General features: G+C 36.1%; 1 protein-coding gene across 7 annotated transcripts in view; it reads right to left on the bottom strand.

Annotated features, from left to right (window-relative positions):
- The window catches only part of CPNE8 (copine 8), a 254,633-nt gene that overhangs the window by 50,270 nt on the left and 178,036 nt on the right, over window positions 1-26,327 (bottom strand). For all 7 annotated transcript variants that reach the window (XR_245896.5, XR_007063052.1, XM_017018852.2 and 4 more), the window contains exons 12-14: window positions 22,374-22,427; window positions 21,300-21,361; window positions 403-449 (exon numbers count right to left, since the gene is read on the bottom strand). Coding sequence is in view for 5 of the 7 variants with exons in the window: in XM_017018852.2 (XP_016874341.1) it covers window positions 403-449; window positions 21,300-21,361; window positions 22,374-22,427 (163 nt within the window). In the remaining 2 variants the exon portion in view is untranslated. The remainder of the gene's footprint in view (window positions 1-402; window positions 450-21,299; window positions 21,362-22,373; window positions 22,428-26,327) is intronic.

The raw sequence follows: 26,327 nt of genomic DNA on the forward strand, positions 1-26,327 counted from the left end.
ATACATACAAAAGTACTATAAAAATGAGGATTATAACTTAATACACTTCAGAATTATAGTTATAGATGGAAAAGAACAGAGGGTAGGAGAATGGGTCAGAGATACAATAGGCTTCAGTACATCTAAAATTTGTATTATTTTAAACACATGTAAAACAATGACAATATTTCAATATATAATAAATCTGAATGAGACTATTAGCATTTTTGTTATATTATTTCTAGTCTTTTGTATATTTGAACTATTTCACAACATTAAAAAGAAAGAAAAAATTATGTAAATTTTATATGGAAAACTTCAGAAGTATGTAAATATAGAAATAAATTAACACTTATGAAAATATAAATTTATTTTTCATGTAATTGCTGATGATTTTTATCAGGGGATAATCAAAACACTCACCGTTTGATGCTGTAAAATCAATAGCCACTGTGAAATTGATTTGCGTCCTGGAATAGAAGTAAACAAGACTCATTAATAATGAAATAACCTGATAAAAGGAGTTTCTTTTCCATTTCGGTTATATTTTTTAATGTCACTGATTTTCTCAAACGTTAATTAAGAGCAATATATTACAGTACATATTGGATAGCATCAGATAGGCAGTTTTACATGGTAAGAACTTGGCAAAAATATATTTATAGTTACATATATTTATAGTCACATACAATGAAAACTAAAGTCTCGGGAATAAAAGTAGTTCCTATTTTGGAGTAATTAAGTGACTCATAACAAAGTAGTCAAACTGCAAATAATTATTTTCCAGCCTCAATGCCATCATGTATTATTAATTTATGTTTCCAAAATTGTTCTGTAGTAATCGTGAAATTAGCATGTCCTTTAAAGTGTTGCATTGCTAAAATCATCTCTAATAATGTCATTCCTTAAACTAATTCTTTTTGACAATCCCCCAAACACACGATTTTCTCCAGCATCCCTTCCTGATAAAACCCTCAAGAAGCTAGGCATTGAAGGAACACTCCACGAAATAATAAGGGCCGTCTATGACAAATTCACAGCCAACATCATACTGAATGGGCAAAAACTGGAAACAATCCTCTTGAGAACTGGAACAAGTCAAGGATGCCCACTCTCACCACTCCTATTCCACATAGTATTGGAAGAGCTGGCCAATCAGGCAAGAGAAAGAAATAAAAGGCATCCAAATGGGAAAATAAGTCAAACTATCTCTCTTCACACACCACTCGATTCTATACCTAGAAAATCCTAAATACTACACTAAAAGGCTCCTGGAACTGATAAATTCTGCAAAGTTTCAGGATACAAAATCATGTACAAAAATCAGTAGCTTGTTTATATACCAATAATGTTCAAGCTGAGGGCCAAATGAAGAATGCAATCCCATTCACAAGAGTGACACACACACACACAAATATCTAGAATAAATCTAACCGAGGGAGTGAAAATCTAACCATAGAAAAAGCCACAAAAAAGAATAAAGTCATGCCCTTTGCAGCCAACTTGGATATAGCTGGAGGCCGATACCCTAGGCAAATTAATGCAGGGACAGAAAGCAAACACCACGTATTCTTCCTTATAAGTGCGAGCTAAACATTGGGTACTCATGGACATAAAGATGGCAACAACAGACACTGGAGACTACTAGAGGAGAGATGGAAGAAGGGTGGCTTGAGGGCTGAAAAATGAACTGTTGGGTACTATGCTCAGTACCTGGGTGACAGGATCATTTGTAACCTTAACCTCAGCATCACACAATATATCCAGGTAACAAACACGCACATGTAATTCTTGAATCTAAAATAAAAGTTGGAAAAAGAAACACACAAGATTTTCTTTTGCTTTCTTCAGAAATGAAGTATTTCAGACACTAGTCTCCCATTGCTTACAGCATTTCTCTTTGTGTGTTTGTGTGTATATGTATGTGTGCGTGTGTGTGTGTGTGTATTTACAGATATAGATAAATACAGATATATACTGATTGATAAAATATGTTACAAAATGCTCCTCAACTTGCAGTGGGGTTACATCCTGATAAATCAACTGTAAGTTGAAAATATTTTAAGTCAAAAATGCATTTAAATACCTAACCTAAGGAAAGTCAGAGCTTACTCTAGCCTATTTTACTGTGTTCTGAACACTTCCATTAGCCTATAGTTGGGCAAAATAATCTGGCAACACAGTACACTGTGGAGCATCAGTTGTTTACCCAGTGATCCTGTGGCTGATTGGGAGCTGTGGCCACCGTCCAGCATCAGAAGAGAGTATCATGCTGCTTTTCTTTCTACTAAATGTGTATTGATTTTGCACTATGGTAAAGAAAAATCTTGCTGAATTATTGTAAGCTGAGGACCATCTGTGTGTGTATGTATGTGTATATATATATATATATATATATATATATATATATATTTAAATTTCGGCACATGGTTGTTACCCAAACTTATTTTAGTGAATTAGTTTAGTTTTTTTTTTTTTTTTTGCTGATGGAAACTAATGAGGTAGTGGTAGTCACATAAGAAATTCACTTTTTTGAGTATACCTATGACTCTATATGTAATTCCATCTCTTCCTTACCAGGGAAAATATAAAAACACAAATACATGACAATGCTATAAATACTGTAATAACCTGGAATCACATCTAATCTACAAAATAATTTTTAATTAAAAAGTAAATCATCTGAAAACATGAGTACTTTGACTATTTTTTAGCAACAAATTACTTTTGACACACAGCACAATTGATTTAACACTTCCAATTTTGGAACTATTGGATAAATAATGATGGGATTTAAATAAAGCAATCCGATTCTGCTATTACAGCATAGGGTCTCTTGTAGTCCTCTTAGTAAAAACTATTGTGACATTTCCTTCTTTCTCCAAATATTCGGCCTGGAAAGACCTAAATACAATGCAGGGATTGAATCAAATTCACACATTTTTTTTCCTACGGAAACAACAACCTTTCTTGCTTATATTTAACAAAAACTAGTATAGATTCCCTTTATATTAATAGTTATATGGTATTTTTTTCTCAGAGTAGAAATCAGGTTTATAGGCTAAGAATATAGGCTAATTTGGAGCATAACACTAACCAGCATGAACCTAAGTGAGTACAAACTTTTAGAAAAAGAATATAGTAAGACTTCTGGGAGAACATTTTCAGATAAAAGCCCCTTTGAGGGATTGAAAAGAACAATCACCATCAGCACATTGCTTCGTCATGCTGTGGTAGGGAGAGAAATGACTGTGATACATGGCAGTAAGGTAGATTAGAAAGGGTGTGGATTTTGAATCTGAATGAACTGGGTTTGAGTCCCAGCAACCCAGTTGGTGACCTTAGCCAAATTTCAAAACTCTTGGAGGGCAGGTACCTGGCAGATAGAAAAAAAATGAGAACTGAAAGGAAACAACATGAGATATTACATATACATTTTATTTTACACACATAATATATATATACATATATCATAAGATATTCACATTATACATATCACACATTATATATAATGTGATGTTACATGGCTTGTACCAGTTAACCACAAAATAATTTTAAAGAGAAGATACTATCATCCTCTTTTTACAGAGAAGGAAATCTATGCTCACAAAACTTAATAATTTCTATGCCAGTAATAAACAACAGCATTGGAATTTGAATTCACATTCAACTAATCTGTTTCTCCAGTTAAATATTTGCAAACTTTCTGGCTATAATAGGCACACAATAAAGGATATGGATTATATTATTAATATTATGCCATAATCCTAGAAAAAAACTAAACAGATGTTCTTTTTTGTGTGTGACCAAATGAGCTTTTAATATAAAGAGATTAATCCTCCTGAAAATCAATAACAAACCCAAATTTGATCTGAATATTTTACGAAGTTTGCTGAAACCTGTGTTCTACAGGTTTTGATAAAGGAAGTTTTGGTTTTGAAGAAACACTGAATTTTATCCATTGATTTTCTCATGAGAAATGGGATTCTTCTATCAGATATAGACAGTAAATATTCTTAATGATAAAAAAATCTGGATATAATCTCATGCTTGGGCAAATTTTTCCTTCTATCAAATATGTTATCAAGTATATAAATAACAAAATAATATGTATATATTCTTTTTATGTTATTTTATTCAAATAACACCTCATTAGGAATAAAAAATAACTTTGAGCTTTAAGAATATATGTTTTAGCAGATTATAAAGATCAATTTAGAAGTCCAGTCTTTGGTTCAATCTCTGTACACTGTAGGAGAAGACACATTACTATCTTGATTCAACTCTCTCTTGCAACAGTGTCTGCACAATGCTTTCCACATATTGAAACCTCACTGTGTTCACTGGGCAAATGGATACGTTTGTTTATGACTGTTTCTAACTTGTTCTCCAGGGTAGCCCAGAATGCTACAGCATAACCGTCAGCTTCCTAGAAGCACTGGTTGCAGATACAAGACTTCAGTAGTCATAGATGCAAACGTCCTCTCAAAGACAAAGTTGTCCCTACCAAAGCTACAAAGAAAAGTTATGGCTATTTGCTAAAGAACCATACATAAGAGTTAAAAAGAAGAAGAGAGCAGAGGACAGGTGCAGTGGATCCCACCTGTAATCCCAGCATTTGAGAGGCTGAGGTGGGAGGATCACTTGAAGCCAGGAGTTCCAGACCAGCCTGGGCAACATACTGAGACCCAGTCTGTATAGAAATTTTAAAAAATAACCAGGTTGGGTGGTGTACACTTGGAGTCCAAGCTACTTAGGAGGCTGAGGTGTGATGATCTCTTCAGCCTACGAATTTGAGGCTGCGGTGAGCTATACTTGCACTGCTGCACTCCAGCTTGTGCGACAGAGTGAGACTCTGTCTGTTAAAAAATGAAAATAAAAAGGAGCAGATATTTAGAATTAAACTTACTAAAACTATCAATAGCTAAACTAAATTATGAAACCATGTAGACTATGTACAATAAAACAATGAACTGTAGAAAAGAAGACAAGATAAGAGAAAGAGAGAGGAGGGAAGGAAGGTAAGAAGGAAGGAAGGAAGAAGAATGAAAGGCAGGACCAATGAGCACTGTTGAAACCCAGGACACTCTAAGCCTAAGTATAAAAGGTGGATGCATTCATTTAGCACTAAATGATAAATAAGACCATTTGGTAATTATGGTGCAACAGAGACACTCAATGAGTAAAGCAGAATCCTGAAGCATATTTGATGACTGATTGATGACAAGATTTGATTAATTCTTTGTCTCATTCTGCATGTCAGGAAGAATCTCTTGCCTTTATTACTTTGAATCAGCAGCAGCATTCAGCTCAGAAGGAAAATATTATGGCTTACTAAATAAAGCAGCTCATGCTAGCGATGGTCACTTAGCCTGCTATCACACCATTGAGATTTTTCTACTTAGAAAACCACAGTTCAACAATGATTTATGGAGCACCTTTCAATTGCCAAGCACTGTGCTATAGGATGAAGAGAAACAGGAGCAAATAAAACACCATTCTTGAACTCACAGAGCAAAACTCCAGCTTTATATTGTTCAATGACAAAGATAGCACAGCATTTTATCATTGAATTCAAAATCAATAGCATAACCTAAAATTCACCTGCACATTTACTGTGAATATCAGTTTGTTCAATGCCATGATTCCTAAGAGTTTCCATTCATATTATAATACATACTTACTAAATCAAGTGTCATATTCTATGTATTTAGAAAATATTAACTGATAAAAAATTTAAAGAAAGTTCCTAGCAATACTATAACCTCAAGCTATAAAACAGGTTTCTTGAAGACTTTAATACATAATTTGTTATAAAAGTAAACCAAACAACATTTCAATCAGTAACGTCATTACCCTTTTTCATTCTCTAATATTGCTTGAAGCCTAATGTTAGAGGAAAAAAAAAATCAATCGTGTCAAAGTAAAAAAAAAATCCAAATTTATATAAGATTACTCCTGACAGAATATTCATAAAACAATCACATTTAAATCCTCGAAACATTTTGTTTAGGAAGTGTTACTTTAGCTGTCATTTTATGTTTTAGAAGCAGAAAAGACAGAAGGATTTCATAAAATCCAGTTAGCAGCATTATATTTTAGAATATAAAAAGTTATGCCTGCCAAATTGCATGAGTTAGTACTAACATCTTAGGAGATCTCCCAATACATATGTCCTAGTACTACTAAAATATGAACTTGGAAAATGCCCCTATTTTACCATCTTTCCAAAAGCTGTGAATGACAGAGAAATCAGATGTCAAGATGAGAATAATTTACTAGCACAGCAAAGATCCACAGGAAGCAAGTATATATGTGAGTATCAAAGAAAACTAGACACACATATACACATACAGAGAGTAATACCATCTTACATGTGTTTTCTACAGCTGTTATTTTGAATTAATTACAGAGAACTAACAAAACTGTGATAGGGATGTGCAGAAGGCTTGTTTTCCTTTCTTCCCAATTTCAAATCTAGTTCAGTTGCACAAACTGAACTTTGTAAATTATACAGTGGATTTCTCCCACTCCTCTTTAAATTAATCTTGACAAACAGATTCACATCCACTAGCTGTTGGTATCTAGAACCCAAAAATGTAGTTGGGATGCCCACCTAACAATAATATTCCTCACATTCTTTCTATATTGGTACCAGGACTATGCTTCTGCCTTGATTTACCAATATGTATTCTAGTTCACACTTTGGTTCTGGAACATGCCCTGAAGCCCTGGTGCACTTGCCTCAAACATTGTCATCCAACCTAACCCTTCTTGACCTTCTCTCACCATGGGCTAAACCCTGAGCCCTTTTCTGTCTTATCCTTTTGCTTTTCTTAAAATTGGTTCAACTACCTGAATGACAATGCAGACAGATGCCTCATTCCAAACTTTATTGCATCTTCAAAATTCTGGCATCCCATGCCCATGAACTACTCAGTGAATTAACCTTGCCAAGTAAGATCTGCTAGAATGAGGGCAGGTTGTGAGATGCACAAATGCAAATTCAGATATAAATACTTTCACTCATGATTCACGTGATCTTGAAAAAACTATTCAATCTTCTGCAGCTCACTTGTAAATAATTATAAAACCTTCCCTGATTGTTGCTGTGAGGACCATAAAAGAACCTGTCCTTTAGAAGGCCCATTAAGTAGATGACTCATTATTATCATGATTATTGATACTAGTTTTTCAGAACGTGAGCATACTTCTTTGAATACTGGATTGTATAATGCTTATCAAATTTCTGGGTCTACCAGAGGTTCAGGTTATTGCAAAGAATCTGATGCTCCCATGTCAGATTTCCTTTCCTTCACACCCACTAATAAGGTACCAATCTGTTCAACCCAAAACTGAGCCATGAATTTATAATCTAACCTTGTTAGGTGTTATCTAGGTACTTCCTCAAACAAAATTCTACTGCATGAAGTAATTGTAAACTTTGACTTTTGCCTTATTTTCTATCCTTTCTTTCCTTCATGCACTCTGGATTCCTGGGGATCAGTGAAATGTCAAAAGTAACAATAAAAAAAATAACTGGAGACAAGAGATATGATCCCTCAACTCTTTATTCTTCAACCTTACTGAATTCAGTTTTTACAAATCAATAAAACTTTCTAATTTCTCTAGACTTTGAAGATTGATTTCTATATTTTTTTCACACAATACTACTACTCCAAAATACAACTTCATAAGGAGGCTAGCTTATCTTCATGCAATTCAAGAACACCTTATCAAAAAGGTATGCAAAATTGCCAACCTCTTTTCTAACCAATAGTTAGAAAATATATGTGACATAATCAAAATAAGCTAACAAAAAAAAAAAAAAAAAAAACCAACCCCAAACCGAAACTGTAAGCACTATCCATCAAAATCCCATTTAAAATGAGGTAGGTGCCAGAGAGGTAATGCCTGCCTAGTAGGAAGACAGTGAACTCTTGAGTCATATAGACTGGAGTTTGAAGCCCAGAATCACCACTAGCTAGCTAGTTGTGACTCCTTGCAAAACTATCAAATCTCTGGGTCCTAGTTTTCTCATATGACAGACAGGTAACAACCACATTGAAGGAGACTTCTAAATGTTAGAAATAAAACTCTCAAGTACTTGCACATAGCAAATACTCTACATGCTGTAGGACAAATTTCGTGAGCAACCCATGCCATTTTCTACTGGTTCATGCTAACACTCTCCTCTGTGGGGTCAGAAGAGAGTTCTTTCTTTATATTAACATAAATTTATTTTCCACTAGTCCTTCCCATAATGTGGGTTAGTGATGTATCAAGGGTGGGGCAATGAAGCTGTAACCAGTACAGGCAGTAGAGGGGTACACTGTCTGTACAGAACTCAAATATAGTAATATATCTTATGCATATGCAACCTACATTTTAATATCACCGTACACTAGCAATTCTAAGCAATGTCCGTGATAAATTCTTTCCCACTCTACTACCTCCTGCCCTTGCTAAGCTACTGTTTTTTTGTATTTCTGTTTCTCCTGCTCCCAGCCCCCAACCTTTTAATTGCCCACCACTGTGAAACTATTTTAGAAATAGCAAAGTGTGTTGTCTACAATAGAATAATTTCACAGAAATAGATGATAAAATTTTGTTCCTACAAAAGTTTCTAAGTTTCGAAGAAAAGTTATATGTTTCAAGAGAAAATTACTAGTACATCATCAGGAGGAAAATATTTAAAGTTGTTTTCCTACTATTAATAATAGTTTTGCAAAAATTCATTGCTGTTGCATCACTCAGTTCTTTCAGTTTTCACTGTGTGTGGCTAAAAGTGCACACTGTAACCAAGCAACATAACTATGAAACTGCCCAATACCAATAGAGTGTCAATATTTGGCAAGATTAGTGCTAGTCCTGACGATGAGGCATACCTGAAGAGTTTCCTTTGACTTTGAAATGGAGAGCTCTGAAAAAATTTATCTGCAGCATAACAAACTGGCAATGAAATCACAATCATAAAGTATGTAACTAGATATCTCTAAGCTTTCCAAGTGTAGTTCTTTTTTTTTTTTTTTTCCAGATGGAGTTTTGCTCTTGCTGCCCAGGCTGGAGTGTAGTGGCGCAATCTCGGCTCACTGCAACCTCCGCCTCCTGGGATCAAGCGATTCTCCTGCCTCAGCCTCCCAAGTAGCTGGGATTACAGGCATGCGCCACCACGCCCAGATAACTGTTGTATTTGTAGTAGAGACGGAGTTTCACCATGTTGGCCAGGCTGGTCTCAAACTCCTGACCTCAGGTGATCCACCCGCCTCGGCCTCCCAAAGTGCTGGGATTACAGGCATGACCCACTACGCCCGGCCCAAGTATACATTTTAAACGTACAAAAATGAGAATCAAATCTTAACCAAATAAATGTTTATAACAGTCTTCTTAATATTCCTAAAAGTTTGTTTTCTAAACAAACTTTTCAGTTTCGATATGATAATGTTCCATGTGAAAATGAGTTCAGTTTTGATATGATAATGTTCCATGTGAAAATATTTATAGAAGGCAGAATGGCTTTGTTTTTATTAGATTTATCCCTACTCAGCACCACAGAGTTTAGCTTTCCACTGATTTGATGAATGAAAGTACTTGGGTGCCACAACAAAAAGCATTATAAAAAATTCTAGACATGTATATTCCATTTTCGAATAAGAAATGGGATTAAGGAAAAAAAAAACTTTATAGTGTTGCATGTTCTGGCCAGATGTGCTTCCTGAAGCAACATAGCAACATATCCAATGCAATGATGCCATTTTTTTTTTTTTTTTTTTAGAAGAGATCTTGCTCTGTTGCCAGGCTGGAGTGCAGTGGCATCATCATGGCTCACAGCAGCCTCAACCTCTTGGGTTTAACAATCCCCGCCCCTGCACCTTAGCCCACTGAGTAGCTGGGAGAACACACATGTGCCACCACACCCAACTATTATATTTTTTAGTTTTTATGGAGATGCGGGCACATTATATTGTCCAGGCTGGTCTCACACTCCTGGGCTCAAAAGATCCACCTGCCTCAGCCTCTCAAAGTGCTGGGATTACAGGTGTGAACCACCATGCCCAGGCTGCCACCAATTTTATAAAACTAAATTAAATGTTTTACAGAGTCATTTCAATTGTTCAAGTATTTTTAAGTAAAAAAAATAATCTGTATGGGGCCTGTTGATAAAGGAACTTACTGATATTGATCTAGCCTCCAAAATAAGTAGTATCAAGAAGCCCACTTTAGCCTTTAAGATTAGCTTATGATAGGTAGATAGCTCTTTAAAAATTTTTTTCAAACAAGTTTTAGATTTAGAGTTGAGTTTGGGTTGGAGCGAACAGGACTGTCTGGACTGAAAGAAGTATCCTGGGGTTATCCTCAAATAGAAATGAACTACAAGAAAGTGATTTTCATGGGCTTTGTAAATTTGAATACATACTTTTTTCTTCATATCTCTTATAACTAGGGCAATTACTACAACAATATGATGACAACAATACGATGAGCTTAGACGTATTAGAACTTTGAGATTTTTCAGAAAAATAATAGCTAGCATTTATTGAGGGTTAACTACATGAAATTCAGTTAACCCTCACAGCCACTCTATGAAATAATCATTGTTATTCATATTCCTATTTTACAGAAATGAAAACAGGTTATGCTAGCAAGAGGCAGATCTAGGATTTGAACTGTACAATTAATGCCAGAACCCAAATTCTTTGCCACTACTATACAATGCCTCAATTATCAGCAACCACTTCTTTGAAATTGGGCTGACTTTTTCGCAAACATTTATTCCTTATTGAATTTCTTATTCAATAAGGAAGTTACTGCCCACTTACTGTCTCTCCTATTACCTTCTCTCATACTCCCTTTCTCTTAAGATATGAAGAAAACAAGCTGTTTGTGCTTCTAATCTTGATTTTGCCCTTCCTCCAAGTAACTACAACGAAGATATAGAGTTCAGCTGAGACAAATTCGGTAGAGGCAATACAAAAGCATGTTTTCTTATTCCAGAAAGCCTGGTCCATCTGTTTTATCTGATGATTGCTGTGTGACTCGTGGAGAGAGTAAGATCGCAAATTGATAAAATCTGAGAGAGACAGATGTGAGGGTTTGCATTCCAGTTTGTCACATTCTGTATTTAAAGTTCTATTTGTTCATTAGGTTTTAATTTTGATAAGAAATTTGGGAGAAAAAAAGGGTAGAAAATCGTGCTCCAAATGGCCGTCTAATTAGTCTGTATTTATTCAATGGCCACTCTGTGTTCAGACCTATAAAAATATTTTAAAATTATGTCTCTTTGAATAAACAAATCATACAAATAAACAATTAAAATGACATCCAGGGAAATTAGTATAAGCTCACCTGGACTCGCTGGATGAGAGTTTGGCCTTTTTTCAAAGGATAAAAATGACAGTCTGTAGACCTCCAAGTTTCTAACACACTCAATTTTCTGATAAAAGCATAGACCAGGATTTCATGTTGACATGAAATTCTAGTGCCTTAGCAGGGACTCGGTGTGCAACAAAATTTGTGATCTGTTTTCCCCCTTCATCTGCCAATCAAAGAGATGTGGAAAACTTTATAGATATTTGTTCCTTAGTTACGGGGATGGGGAAGTGGAGTGTCATAACACTTGAGAGACATAGAGGACTAAAAGGCAGAAGAACCAAATTGAAATTTATGATTCTGTCTTCAGACACTTACAGTGTGAGCTGCTGGGGATATGGAAGTATATATTCTACAAGTCTGTAAAAGTGAATAAACCCAGTTCACAAATAATAATAATTGAAATAATTATCATGCTACCTAAGAAATTATCTTAGATTTCATAACAGTATGTAATTTGAAATGAATCTGACATTGTCCTTATTAATGATAATTGAAGTATTCAATGCCAAAGGTTGGAGATTACTAAATAATCTCCAATTTTAGGTAGACAATTGTATTCAAATTTTAATATCTAAAATTATTTTTAATAAGTAAAGACAAATAAAATAACTACAGGGATAAAAGTACAGAGTGTGATTAAAAATGATGACACCAAGGTCAATAATCCAGAAGAGACCATCAGTGTTTATTACACTATAACAAAGCTCCTTTATGAATATTATTCTTCTGTCTAGAAAATAAAACTTTTCACTATTTCAAATTATAGAATGTATCTCATACTCCAGAAAAAACACAGCACTGCTTATCAAAAAAAAAAAGATCTAAAAATTAGGTTTGTATTTCAGAGAATATTTGAATAAAAATTGGATTTGGGTTGATTTAGAATGCATCTGTCTCATCTGCTCACTGTGTACCTGAATCCATAAATCTGTCTACTGCAGCTAAACACAATATTTTACGGATTGAGACAATGAATGAAAAGTAACAAACTAACAATCTGGTTTCACAAACAATCAAGCTGGTATTTTCATGTAAATATCTACATCAATAATAACTAAACTAACGGAAGTGTATAATATTGAATACTACGAACCAGGCCTAAAAATAAGTTCCTTTGAAGGAAAAGATATTAAAAGGCTATGAAAACAATTTTGTTTAGTATTTAAATGTGTCTTTTCTTAACTCTGCATAATTTCTAATTGGATTCACGAGTAAAAAACCAACAACATTTTTATAATTTTTGATTCCATTATTTTTTTGTGAGAAGAAACAAGAAGAGATAAAATTTTAAATTGCAATTCAATAAGTTATTTCTGTGAATTTAATTGCAATGTTTGACTCTCAGCAAAATTGCTGAACAGTTCACAACAGTTGCCTGTTTCACACTCTTTCTCTATCCCTGTGCTCCCTTGCATCTGGTCTAAGAGAAATGTTTTACCAAATTAATGTAGAGGACAAAATAAATTCAAGAAAACTAAGTATTTGGATTAAGCAGAGCTAGCTAGAGAATCAATATAATTGTTGTTAATGATATCTTACATTGTAATTTTTCACCCTTTTGATGACGTCAAGCTTTACTTGTCAATTCAGATTCAACATGAGCATAACCCGACAGTGGAAAGGTTATGATAATTAGGCCCCTAAATTGATGCAGGGATAGTTTAACATACGCAATTCAATAAATGTGATACATCACATAAACAGAATTTAGAAAAACATACGATCATCTCAATAGATGCAGAAAAGGCATTTAATGAAATCCAGCATTGCTTTATGATAAAAATCCCTCAACAAAATAAGCATGCAAAGGACTTACCTCAAAGTAATAAAAGCCATATATGACAAGCCCACAGCCAAAAGCATACTGAATGGAGAAAAGTTGAAAGCATTCCCCCTGAGAATTGGATCAAGACAATAATGCCCACTTTCACCACTTCTATTCAACATAGTATTGGAAGTCCTACCCAGCGCAATCAGACAAGAGAAAGAAATAAAGTGCATCTAAATTGGAAGAGAGGATGTCAACCTGTTGCTGTTTGCCAGTGATATGACCGTATATCTAGAAATCCCTAAAAACTCATCTAAAAAGCTCCTAGATCTGATAAACGAATTCAGTAAAGTCTCAGGTTACAAAATCAATGTACACAACTCAGTAGCACTGCTGTACACTAACAGTGACAAGCTGAGAATCATATCAAGAACTCAATCCCTTTTACAACAGCTGCAAAAAAGAAAGAAAAGAAAATACCTAGGAATATGCTTCAGCAAGGAAGAAAAAGATCTCCACAAGAAAAACTACAAAACACTGCTGAAAGAAATCATAGATGACACAAACAAATGGAAACACATCCCATGCTCATGGATGGAAAGAATCAATATTGGGAAATGACCATACTGCCCAAAGCATTCTACAGACTCAAATGCAATTCCCATCAATACCAGCATTATTCTTGACAGAATGAGTAAACACTATCCTAAAAATCATATGGAACCAAAGAGAGAGCTCACATAGTTAAATAAACACTAAGCAAAAAGAACAAATCTGGAGGCATCACATCACCCAACTTCAGATTATACTACAAGGCTATAGTTACTAAAGCAGTATGGTACTGGTAAAATGTAGGCACATAGATCAAGGAACAGAACAGAGAACCGAGGTGTAAAGCCAAATAGAACTAACTGATCTTTGAGAGCGCATAAAAATAAAAACTGGGGAAAGAACACCCTATTCAATAAATGATACTGGGAAAACTGGCAAGCCACATGTAGAAGAATGGAACTGAACCTCCATTTCTCACCTAATACAAAAATCAACTCAAGATGGATCAAAGACTTAAATTGAAGACCTGAACCATAAGAATTCCAGAAGATAACATCAGAAAAACTCTCTGGACATTGGCTTAGGCAAAGAATTCATGACTAAGAACCCAAAACCAAATGCAACAAAAACAAAAGTAAACAAATCAGACCTAATTAAACCAAAAAGCTTCTGTACAGCCAAAGAAATAATCAGCAGAGTAAACAGACAACCCACACAGTGGGAGAAAATATATGCAAACAATGAATCTGACAAAGGACTGGTGTCCAGAATCTACAAGGAATGCAAACCAATCAGCAAGAAAAAAACAATGACCCCATCAAAAAGTGAGGAAGGACATGAATACACTGTTCTCAAAATAAGATATCCAAACAGCCAACAAACATATGAAAAAATGCTCAACATCACTAATTATCAGAGAAATGCAAATTAAAACCATGATGAGATACCACCTTATTCCTGCAAGAACAGCCATAATTAAAAAGTCAAAAAACAATAGATGTTAGCATGGATGTGGTGAAAAAGGAACACTTTTACACTGCTGGTGGGAATGCAAATTAGTACAACCACTATGGAAAACAGTATGGAGATTCCTTAAAGAACTAAAAGTAGAACCACCATTTCATTCAGCAATCCCACTACTGGGTATCTACCCAGAGGAAAAGAAGCCATTATATGAAAAAAACACTTGCACATACATGTTTATAGCAGCACAATTTCTAATTATAAATACATGTAACCAACCTATGTGCCCATCGACCAACAAGTAAACAAAGAAAGTGTGGTGTATATATATATATATATATATATATATATACACCATGGAATACTACTCAGTCATTAAAAGGAACAAAATAATGTCTTTTGCAGCAAATTGGGTGCAGGTGGAGGTATTTATTCTAAGTAAAGTAACTCTGGAATGCGAAACCAAATATCTTGTTCTCACTTATACGCAGAAGGTAAGCTATGGTAACACAAAGGCATAAGAATGATACAACGGACTTTGGGGATTTGAGGGGTGAAGTTTGGGAGGGTGGTGAGGGATTAAATACTACATATTGGATACAGTGTATATTGCTCAGGTGACAAGTGCACTAAAATCTCAAAAATCACCACTAAAGAACTTATCCATGCAACCAAAATCCACCTGTACCCCCCAAAAAACTATAAAGAAATAAGCCTGGAAGTCAGAAAAAAAAAGTTCCCTGAATTGATGATGCCACCTTAAGCCAGCAACAAAACCATCCACAAATGCAGCAATCAGTGCTCTTATCTTAGTATTTTAAGTTAAAAGTGAGGAGTTACTGTGATTCATTATAAAAACCAAATTAAATTCAGCAATTTGTTCCAATTACCTTGAAATATCATACTTATTATGTATTATGGAAGGGCATCTTTAAAAAAAAAAAGCTAAGTTTGATAATTCCACAAATCTTCAAATGTACTAATAAATATGCCCTCTAATGCATTAGTTTGGGTGGTTTGGTTGATGATAGCCCAAGGTTTTTGTTTATTTTATTCTTTTGCAGTGTCATCAGAGGGCATAATGGCCAGATGGGCTAACTTAAGAAGAGTCTCCCCTGAGGCATGCTGAAGATGAGCAGGATCAAAGACCAAGGTGTGAATATTGCAGAAGTTTAGCTGACTTGTTAAAAAAGGAATATAGCTCCAAACTACCTTTCTGTGTTTTTTCTTTAGTTGAAAATACACAATCCTTTATGGTGGAAGTGGGGGAAGAAGCAGGAGAAGACAAAAAGTTCTGAAAGGTCTGTTTCCAAAGACACAGCTGGTTTGACATGAGCTTTTACAGGAAACATGAAAATAGCTGATAAAAAGGTTTCACAGGTGAAAACTGACAAGGACTTATATCTATTAAATTAGTGAAAATGAAAAAGGAGGGGCACTATTCAGAAAGGGTAAGGATATGGTAAACATCCTGCACAGATTTGGGGAATATAAATTCTTAGAGTATTTTAGCATTACAATTTAGAAATATCTAACAAATTGTGAAATACGTATATCATTAAATCCAATAACATTATTTCTAGGAAGTAACTCTACAGATATGCTTGCATATCTATACACAAATGCACTAATGAAATGCATAAAATGCCATGTACCATGTATTTACATTGCAGCTTTGTTTATAATAAAAAATGTATGTCACTAAAGCATGTACTAACAGGAAATTTTTAAATTAAATGATGTACAATCATATAATGGAAAACTGTTTACAAAAAGGTAGTAGTGACATACTAGCATATACACACAATACATTTAATGAACAAAACATACAATGCAGTGTATTGCACATAGTGTGATCCCATGATTATAAAAAAATAGTAATAGCAGATGTTAGCTATTATCATACACAAATTACACCGAGAGTAAGTTGATAGGTTAGAGTAAGCCTTCTGTAAAAATGCAAACAATGATTTCAGAGTGAAGAAAAAATAAATAAGATGTCATTAGGTCATGGAAGAGCTGGAAGATTGAATTGAATTATATCCTTTTACAAATGGACTTCAGAATATCCAATTCATGTGAACTACAGGAAATTATAGTTTAGATATTTTAAATGATTTGCCTGTCACCGTATAACACAAGGGTGTCATGACCAAGCTAGATCTCTTTACCATATCATTAATAAAAGTCAAATTTTAAATTTGTGCCCAATTTGGCTGGGTGTGGTGGCTCATTCCTGTGATTCCAGCACTTTGGGAGGCCGAGAAGGGCAGATCACTCGAGGCCAGGAGTTCAAGACCAGCATGGCCAACATAACGAAACCCCTCTCTACTAAAAATGCAAAAATTAGCTGGGCGTGGTGGCACATGCCTGTAATCCCAGCTACTCGGGAGGCTGAGGCATGAGGATTGCTTGAACCCAGGAGGCAGAGGTTGCAGTGTTGCCAGCCTGGGCAACAGAGTTAAGATTGTCTCAGGAAAAAAAAAAAAAAAAAGAAAGAAAGAAATTGTGCCAATTGCTCTTAAGAAGTCCTTCAGGGCAAAGATATATAAATACATTTAAAGATACATAATACAATGATTATTATTGCTAGTTGATTTGGATTCCACTATCCAAAAGAATAAGTTAATATCCCTGTATTTTACTTATAAACATTATATTGTGGTGAATAATAGTTAAATGTATAACTGTAATATATTTTAAGGACATTACATACATTTATAATATGTCTTTGTATAAAAACAACGGAATATATGCAAATAATATTTTTTCATATCCTTTACAAATAATAAAGTTTTATAGAAATTATCTTAGGTCTAGTTAGATTAATTATGTTGTGAAACTTAAACTATATTTCCCCAGGCCCCATTTGTAAATCAGAACTGGGTTCTTTTTTTTGAGACAGAGTCTTGCTGTCGCCCAGGCTGGAGTGCAGTGGTGCGATCTTGGCTCACTGCAAGCTCCACCTCCCCAGAACTGGGTTCTTATAAAAGCCTCAAGAAGCCAGGATTGGGGCAAACTGTACCCCATAAGTTGGGGCTCCACTTATAGAATAACTAGCATTTCTTCCTGCACAGGCAGTGCTATAAGTAGGAAGTGTGCAGCTAAGGAAAAGAATCCTAAGGTTTGTAAGCAACAGAAAAATATGACAAGTGTGATAGAGTTAAGACTGTCATTGCTTCAGGTACTATAGAATGCCATTTGCTCTGATTAGCCCTAAGAATTTTCAGCAGGAGAATGAGAGCAAACAATAAATGTGATTTATTGGTACCAGATTCTGAGAATGTTTTATACTGATAGACTCACACCCAAATATTGCTAGATTTGCACCGCTGACCGAACGTACTGGATATCTGTTATATATACACATACATATTCTTCACATGCTCATAAAGCAAAACAAAAAAACAAGACAAAAACTGAAAGAAATTTATAACATTTCAATACCACAAATCAGTATTTCTACATGTAAAATATAACCAGATATATCAAGTAATTTTTTTTTAAGTTATAAAGAAGGTGCTAAGGGATATCCATTTACTTACCTTATTTCTTTATCAACTATTGATGGCAGCAGCTGCTCCAGACAGCCTTACGCTGCCATCACGCTGGCTGCAGCAAGGAGGCACAGCCGGGGCTGCATGCTCCGGGGAGCGTGTGGGAGCCAGGGACAAGTGGGAGCTCTGCCTTTTCCGAGTTGGGGTAGGAGCTCCCCAGGTGCACTGCAGTCATCCAAGCCACGGCTACAGACTCAGACCTCCCAGGCCACTCCTGCTCCATGGAGCAGGCAGGAGCTGCCCCCTCGCATTTCCCCACACAGCTGCAGTTGCCCAAACCACAGCTGCAAGCTCAGGCATCCCTGTACCCTTGGGGGCCCAGGAAGAGCTCCTGCCCTCACAGGCTCAGAAGTGCCTACTCCCACTGCCTGGCTTCTCCCTGCTGTTGGCTTCCGCTCTAATCTTGGAGCAAAGTCAGTGCTGAGCCCAGGTGCCAAGAAGAGCAGCAGGAGGCAGACAGATTCCTGGGCCGATGGGATGGATGCCTGGTAAGGATGGGGTTGACCAGCAGCAGAAAGGAGCTACCCACTCTAGGGCCTCCTTTCTGCTGAGCACTTTAGAGACTTGCAGGGACATCAGGACTGCCAGCTGCAGAAAGGAGCAACCCACTCCAGGCCCTTCTGTCTGCTAGGAGCTGGGGAGATGATGAGAGGGCCTGCCTGCAGAGAAGAGCAACCCACTCCAAGGCCTCCTATCTGGGAGATCTGGGAAGATGATAGGACAACCTGCCTGCAGAGAGGAGCTTCCCACTCCAGGGTCCCCTCTCTGCTAGGAGCTAAACACTAGGGGCGCCCTGGCTGCAAAAAGGAGCTACCCCCTGAGGGTCTCCTGTAAGCAGTTCTATTGCTCAATAAAACTCCTCTTCATCTTGGCTCACCCTTCATTTTCTGCATACCTCATTCTTCCTGGCTATAGGAGAAGAACTTGGGACCTGCCAACTGGCGGAGCTAAACAAACTACAACACAAGCAGGGCTGAAACCTGCCCATTGCTCACCATGTTGCAGGCATAGAGAAGGAGAGAATAGCTGTGGCCCCTGGGGGAGCCCAGACCTGGGAGCTCCCTGAGCCAGGGATGTGACTTCCTTTTTGGTGTCCTGCAGTGCCTAGCATCTTCAAGCTTTCGGGTGCCACTGAATTCCCCGGTGCCAGCCAGGGAAGCTGCTTGTGGTGCGTCTGGTCCAGCCATAGCCTTGCGGAGAGCTGGTACCTATGCCAGCACCCTGAGCTGCCCACCCTGCTGCAGCAGCCAGCATGTCTGACTGCACAGTGGCTGGATCTCACGCTCACACACCCCTCACCACTTCATACCTGATTCACCCTTGGCAGGCGTGGGATGCAGGCTGGTAGCATGAGAAAAGTGCAGCCTGCTAGGCCAAGCGGATGGAACGAGCCCAGCAGGCCCTAGCAAACTCAGGAAAAGGTGCCACCGGCCAGAGGTTTCAGGCCAGAAAAAGCGGCACCCCAAAGATCCTGTAACACTATTACCTACAACTACTAAGGAGTTTTTACAGGAATAAAATATATTTTTATGACAAATTCAACATTCTATTTTCCTATCTTCTGAAAATAAAAATAGGCAAAGACATTGGAATACTAAGAGTTGGCAAACTTTTTTTTCTACTTTGTACTTTAACTTTATTGAAACAACCACTGTTGCTTCTTAGTCTGTGCAGCCACTTTGCATTTTGGATGCCCGTATATAGCAAAGAGTACTCATTTAAGTAGGTATTTTGCTTGTTTGTTTGCTTTGTATCCTTAATTAAGAGCAACAAGAGGCAAGCTCTCTGGGTTTTGTGAAGCTATCTTTGTTCCCTTGGTCCCCCCACTCCCTCAACCCCTTCTTCAACCTGAGGACATTCTATCAGTGTCTTTATGGGGTGGCAGGGGGCTGTTGCTGAATCATAATTAGGAAGAGGTTTACGTGAGTGATATCTCTGACTGTTATTCATCATGAAGTTACTAAACACATTCAAATTTGCTTCACTCCACTTTTGCGTATTGAAAATACAAGGTGAAGGAAAATAGAATGTGTAGACATTTTATACTGCAAGACAACCAATGCTTTTTTTAAATCTCTGGGGATGATATGGTCTGGCTCTGTGTCCTCACCCAAATCTCATCTCAAATTGTAATCCCCACAATCCCCCTGTGTCGAGGGAGGGATTTGGTGGGAGGTGATTGGATCATGGGGGCAGTTTCCCCCATGCTGTTCTCATGATAGTAAGTGAGTTCTCATGAGATCTGATGGTTTTACAAGTGTTTGACAGGTCCTCCTTCACATGCACTCTCTCGCCTGCTGCCATGTAAGACACGCCTTGCTTCCCCTGTGCCATCGGTCATCCGCCATGATTATAAGTCTCCTAAGGCCTCCCCAGACATGAGGAACTGTGAGTCAATTAAACCTCTTTCCTTTATAAATTACCCAGTTCGGGGTAGTTTCTTTATAGCAGTGTGAGAACAGACTAATACAGGGGATGCTTGGTAAGGTTAAGAAAAGGAAGAAATAGGTTAAAATGAGAAGCAAAATTGAAAATACTTCCCTATTTATGAGGGTGTAAGAACTTATAGTACATTACCAACACAGGATCTGTCTGGGTTTTGAAAAATTTCAAAATTGGTTACAACTATTTTTTTTTTCCTGAAATGTATTCCTGTCTGAGAGCTGTGGGACCAACTAAATGACTACACCATCCATTTCTGCATTCTGATTTTATGACAAGGCACATTCCTTTAATATTCTTAACCTAGTATATACATTTAAATCAGGCCCTGAAGCTTTTCACCTATATTACAAATAATAAATAGTACATGTAAAATGTCCTATGTATTAGGCAAACAAAAACATCCTATGAAAGTGAACATAATAGCCATATCTACAACTATTAATCATACAATATTTTCTTTTGGTTAAAGTTACAATTTGCCCCAAAAGTAATAGCTCTAGGTATGTACGTTTTTTCTTTATATCTGAAACAGAAGTCTAATAGGCTTGCCATCAAAATATAATAAAGGTGATCATTTCAGTGCCAGGTACCTCGTGGTAGCGCTTGTTACACAAATTTTAGGAAATGCCTAAGCAACGAAACAATTTGAGAGAATTACTTACCCTCCCTTAATGTAGTCAAGGAATGAAACTTCTGTTTCTACCAAGAAAGAGAGTAAAGTTACCTGAAAAAGAAAAAGACAGAATTACCTTCTAGTTGTTTGTGACCCCAAATAGACCTTTCTAATTATTAGAGAGAAAATCATATTTCTTTGCATTTTGAAACTCACTAAAGATATTATTTTTTATTAACATCTGCTAGGACTGATTGTTCTTACATTTTAAATTATCTGAAGGAAAGGGACCAAAAAAATTAACCAATGTCTTTCTATGACCAGTTTACTTCCTTTGAAGACCAGCATGAAAATTATCTACAAGGACATTGTGTTACTTCCCATTTTAGATAAAAGGAAAGATGAAAGGGAGTTGGAAAATGGTTAAAACCAAAAAACCAAAATCAGTGAGCAAAGCCTTCAAGAGGAAATGTGTGTTTTCAGTCAGGATTCTGTAACGAGCTCATCTAATATTTTAACTGTCTTGCTTTATAGAGATCTTTAAAAGAAAATTGAGGGAAAAGTTAGATTTTGCTACTCCCCAAAAAAGTTTACCTTAAGAAAAAACTCTGCAGTATTTTTTCTTAAAATAGGATGATATTGATTTTTTTTATATTTTTTGATACATCTTTGCCTTCTGTACTGATTTAGTACACCATTCCCACAGAGTTGTCAATTTTACTGAGCACATACACATCCCACGAAACGAGTCTTACTTATTAAGTATAGCCTATAAAGAGTATAGTATTTCTTACTACCACTTGTGTTTTTTACATCTGCCTGATTCATTATACTTGGATTCCACTGAATGAAGAGTTCATAACAAAACTTCAGCCTCTCTCAGAGGCCTTGCAGCCCCTAGGATAATCTACAAGAAGCCAAGTCACTACCTTCTATAAGGTATTCTTGATTACAATCTGTCCCCTGAGAAGTTGATTTTTCTATTGTGTTCCTTCATATTAAAACCCTGAGTGAAACACAGCTCAGTTTTTTTAATTGCTTCCAGTAGGATTAAAGATGCCATCTACATATATGCTTATTCATTTATTTTAATCTTTAATAAATAACATAAAATTTGACTTACTGTTCCAGAATTAGTATATTTTTTCTTTTTTCCTTTCTTTTTGGGATTCACCACCTTAAAAAGCAGATAAAACAATTAAAATGTGTTAGGTTTTATACCGAAGTTTTATATTGAATTTTTAAAAATGTGAAGTTTAACCTGCTGCCTTCCCTTCTTATGCATGTATTCATTTACAAATGCTTTCAGTATGACTTTGGACAGTCATTCAGTCAAAACTTCTCTGCAAAAGTTAATAGTGACTATCTTTTAAAAATGTTTTGTCTGTAATATTCTTCTCACCTGTACATATTGATTACCCTTAACTATGGTCACGTTCTTGATATGATAGAGACCTTTAACATCTAATGTCCTAACTAATGATTGCTTTATAGAAAAATGATGGGTTGTTAAAGAATATTCAAGTGACATAACTTTAAAAATTAAATACACTAACATAGCAAATCATCCAATGTGTGAATATTTAAAGGATCTATTGACCTCACTATTGCTTTATAATGTTAGTAATTTCCACCAGTTTCCCATGCTACATAATAATTGGTAAAGGTCTGCTTTGTAGACATAAGATTGGCCTTTCGACTATTTGATCCATAAGTAAATAAGATTGCACCTCTATATTTCATAAGATATTAGGGGATATAGGGAATATTAAGATAAATAAGACCTGCCGATCTAATGGGATAAACGTAATACATAATTGCCTGAGGAGAGACTTCTTCAGATCATCTCAATCCAAAATATGGAGAAAGCCTTTGACAGGAAAAAAAGATGAAATCGTTTATGAATAAGTATTATTTGAACCACAATTTATTAACTTAAACTAAGGCTTCAATTTAAAATAAATAAATAAACACACCATTCTAGAAAGAAGAAAAAGCAACTGACCCAGGTTGGCTGGGGCAGAGAGCCCACACAACCGGATCAGAAGTGAATCTGAAAAAATAAGCTGAGGCATGTTAGGGAGATCCTTAATCTTGGCCAGGGAGTTTGGGTGTTAATTTAGTTGATGTTTAAATAGGAGAATGATATAATAGGTCTACAGCAGCAGTCCTCAACCTTTTTGGCACCAGGGTCTGGTTTCATGGAAGACAGTTTCCCCACAGATGGGGGTGGGGAGGATGGTTTCGGGATGATACTGTTCTACCTCAGATCATTAGGCATTAGATTCTTATAAGGAGCACACAGGAGGCAGAGCTCAGGCAGTAATGCTCCCTTGCTTGCGGCTCACCTCATGCTGTGTGGCCCAGTTCCTAAAAGTCCACAGGCCTGTACTAGGCTGTGTCCTGAGGGTTGGGGACCCCTGGTCTACAGGATAGAGTTGTAAGGGGAGAAAATGAAGGCAACAGTTAGGGTCCTATTTTTAAATTTTCTATGCAAGAAGTAATGAATCATTAAATAAGGAAGCCCCATTAAAAACGGCTCACCAAAAAAAAAAACAAAACTTTAAGACAACAGAATAAAGTACGTTTTTCAGATTTAAGTAGAAAATCTAAAGGAGAAATTGGTCATCCATTCATTCATTCCACGTATTATTTATTGTGTATTTCAGAAAGCCCTAATTGAACAAATTCTACAGGAAAACATGCACCAGTAAGGATGTTGGGCGTCACTGGCAAGATCACAAATTTTTCAGATGGTTCAATGGTTATTCTATTAAATATGGAGCAGGTTGTTTGGAGGAGAAAGGTAATGTTTGATCTTGAGATTTGAAGAATTCCGCAATTCTTCCAGATAATTTGAGGAACAAGCACTCTGAACAATATATAGGAAATCAATGAATAAAATTAATTCAATCAAAAGTTTGAAAATAAAAAGTTCAGTGATACATTTTTCTCGAAAAACCATATTTCAGCATTTTTCCACCTACAAATCATTAATCTAGCATTATGCCTTTGGTTTAGAAGAGGTTTTTCCTAAATTTTAGGAGTAACTTTTTAGTAGAATTTCATAAGCATCTTTCAGTTCATATGAGTCTTTTTGCTGTCAGCACATCATAATGCACTATTGTCACAGAAAAATTACCTCATGATTTGGTTTTAAATTACATAATTAAATTTAATTGCATAAAGATGTTTTCATTTAATCATATAGGACCATTTCAATTGCCAATAATACATCCGATGTAACAATAATAAAGTTATGTAATATATAAATACAGTAGCATCCGTCACTTCTAAAACTAAATAATGGACTAGGGAAGTCACTTTAGAATGATAGAGTAAGGCCCTCTGCAAAGTTGCTTGTCCATAAAGACAATGAGAACACTAGCAAAAATTGTCAAAATCAAATTTTTTCATGAATCTGGAAATTAATCAAAGGCTTGCAAAAATCAGTGATCACTCATTCAAGACAAAGAGTAAATCTCACTATGTCATTTTAACTTGCTTTACTGCAATCCTACTTTTCCCAGCTCTGTATGTAGCAGCATTGAAAACCGTCAGCCTAGCAACTACAGTGGCTGTGTAAACCAACAGTTTAAAAGCCATTGGAGGGGACAGAATGGGTATAAAGTTCTTCAAAAAGTGTTTCAGGTAATGAATATGGTAATTATCCTGATTTGATCATTACACAATGTATATATGTATTGAAACACCACACTGTACACCATTAGTATTTACAATTAACATGTGTCAATTAAAAACAAAACTTAAAAAAAATGTGTCTTTTCTAGAGAATTGTCATTAACTGACTTATATGGAAGCTTTCTGGAAAAGCTCCATTCATAGGGCTTGGGCTTGTCATTATTTGACTTAACTCAAAGCCTGCTCAGAGGGAAATGCCCTATCTCCAGGACATTTGTTGAAAGTAGTCAGTTGCAGGTGTTTAACAGCGTATCTGCTGGAGGTGATGATATAATCTGAGGCAAGTAAGAGGCTAACTCAAAAACCAAAAAGGAAGATCTAGAGAATGAGATGCTTATCGGGGGCTTTTAAAAGCTCTGGCATATTGCTGGAAATCTAGAAGCCCATGCCCTTTGAAGGGGTGTACACATGCCCAAGGAAGATCTAGGGAATTCTTATCTCCGTCCAACCTCAAGTCTCTGCTCAAACAACAAGTGAAAGCTAAGGCAGGACTTTACGTTGTTGGAGCATATAAGGAGTGCCCAAATGTATACAAATCTCTGTCAAAATATCTGCTGATCACGGAGCTAACCAAGCAAAGACTTCAGCAGCCCACATGACAAAGAATAACAATTTTATAGAATTAGTCCATGAAAATCACTGAACAAAGAGCAAAAAACACAAACTTTGGAGAAGCTGGAGGATCTGATTTCCAATGTGCTGCATTATATTATTTAAAGTTTCCAGCATTCAACAACAACAAAAATAAGATATGCAAAGAAACAGGAAAGTATAGCCCACACTTTTCTATACATAGAAGAAAGAAGTCGACAGAAATTGTCCCTGGGGACTTGCAGATATGGGATTTATTAAACAAAATCTTTAAATCAGCTATTACAAATATATTGAAAGAAGGAAATCATGCGTAAAGGATGAAAGTATGAAACAGTTCCTTACCTAACAGAAAATATCAAAAATGAATCAAAATTACATAAAAAGGAGCCAAACAAGAATTCTCAACTTGTAAAGTACAACTGAAATGAAAAATTCACCAGAAGGGTTCGACGGAACATTTGAGCTGGCAGAAGAAATAATCAGTAATTTTGAAGATTTGTCAACTGAGATTTTCCTGTTTGAGGAACGAAACAAAAAAAGAAAAACAAAACAAAACAAACAAACAAACAAAAACAAAAAAACAGAGCCTAAGAGAACCATGGGACACCATTAAGCATAACAACATAAGTAGAATGGTAGTACCAAAAAGAGAGAGGAGAAAGAGAAAGTGGCAGAAATAATTATATGAAGAACTAATGGCTGGAAATTTTTTTGGTTGCTTGATAAACCTGAATCCCTTGCACAAGTGCAGATAATAAAGTTTGTAATGTATTGGACCCAA

This window comes from Homo sapiens, chromosome 12 (genome assembly GCF_000001405.40).
Source record: "Homo sapiens chromosome 12, GRCh38.p14 Primary Assembly".
Taxonomy (NCBI): domain Eukaryota; kingdom Metazoa; phylum Chordata; class Mammalia; order Primates; family Hominidae; genus Homo; species Homo sapiens.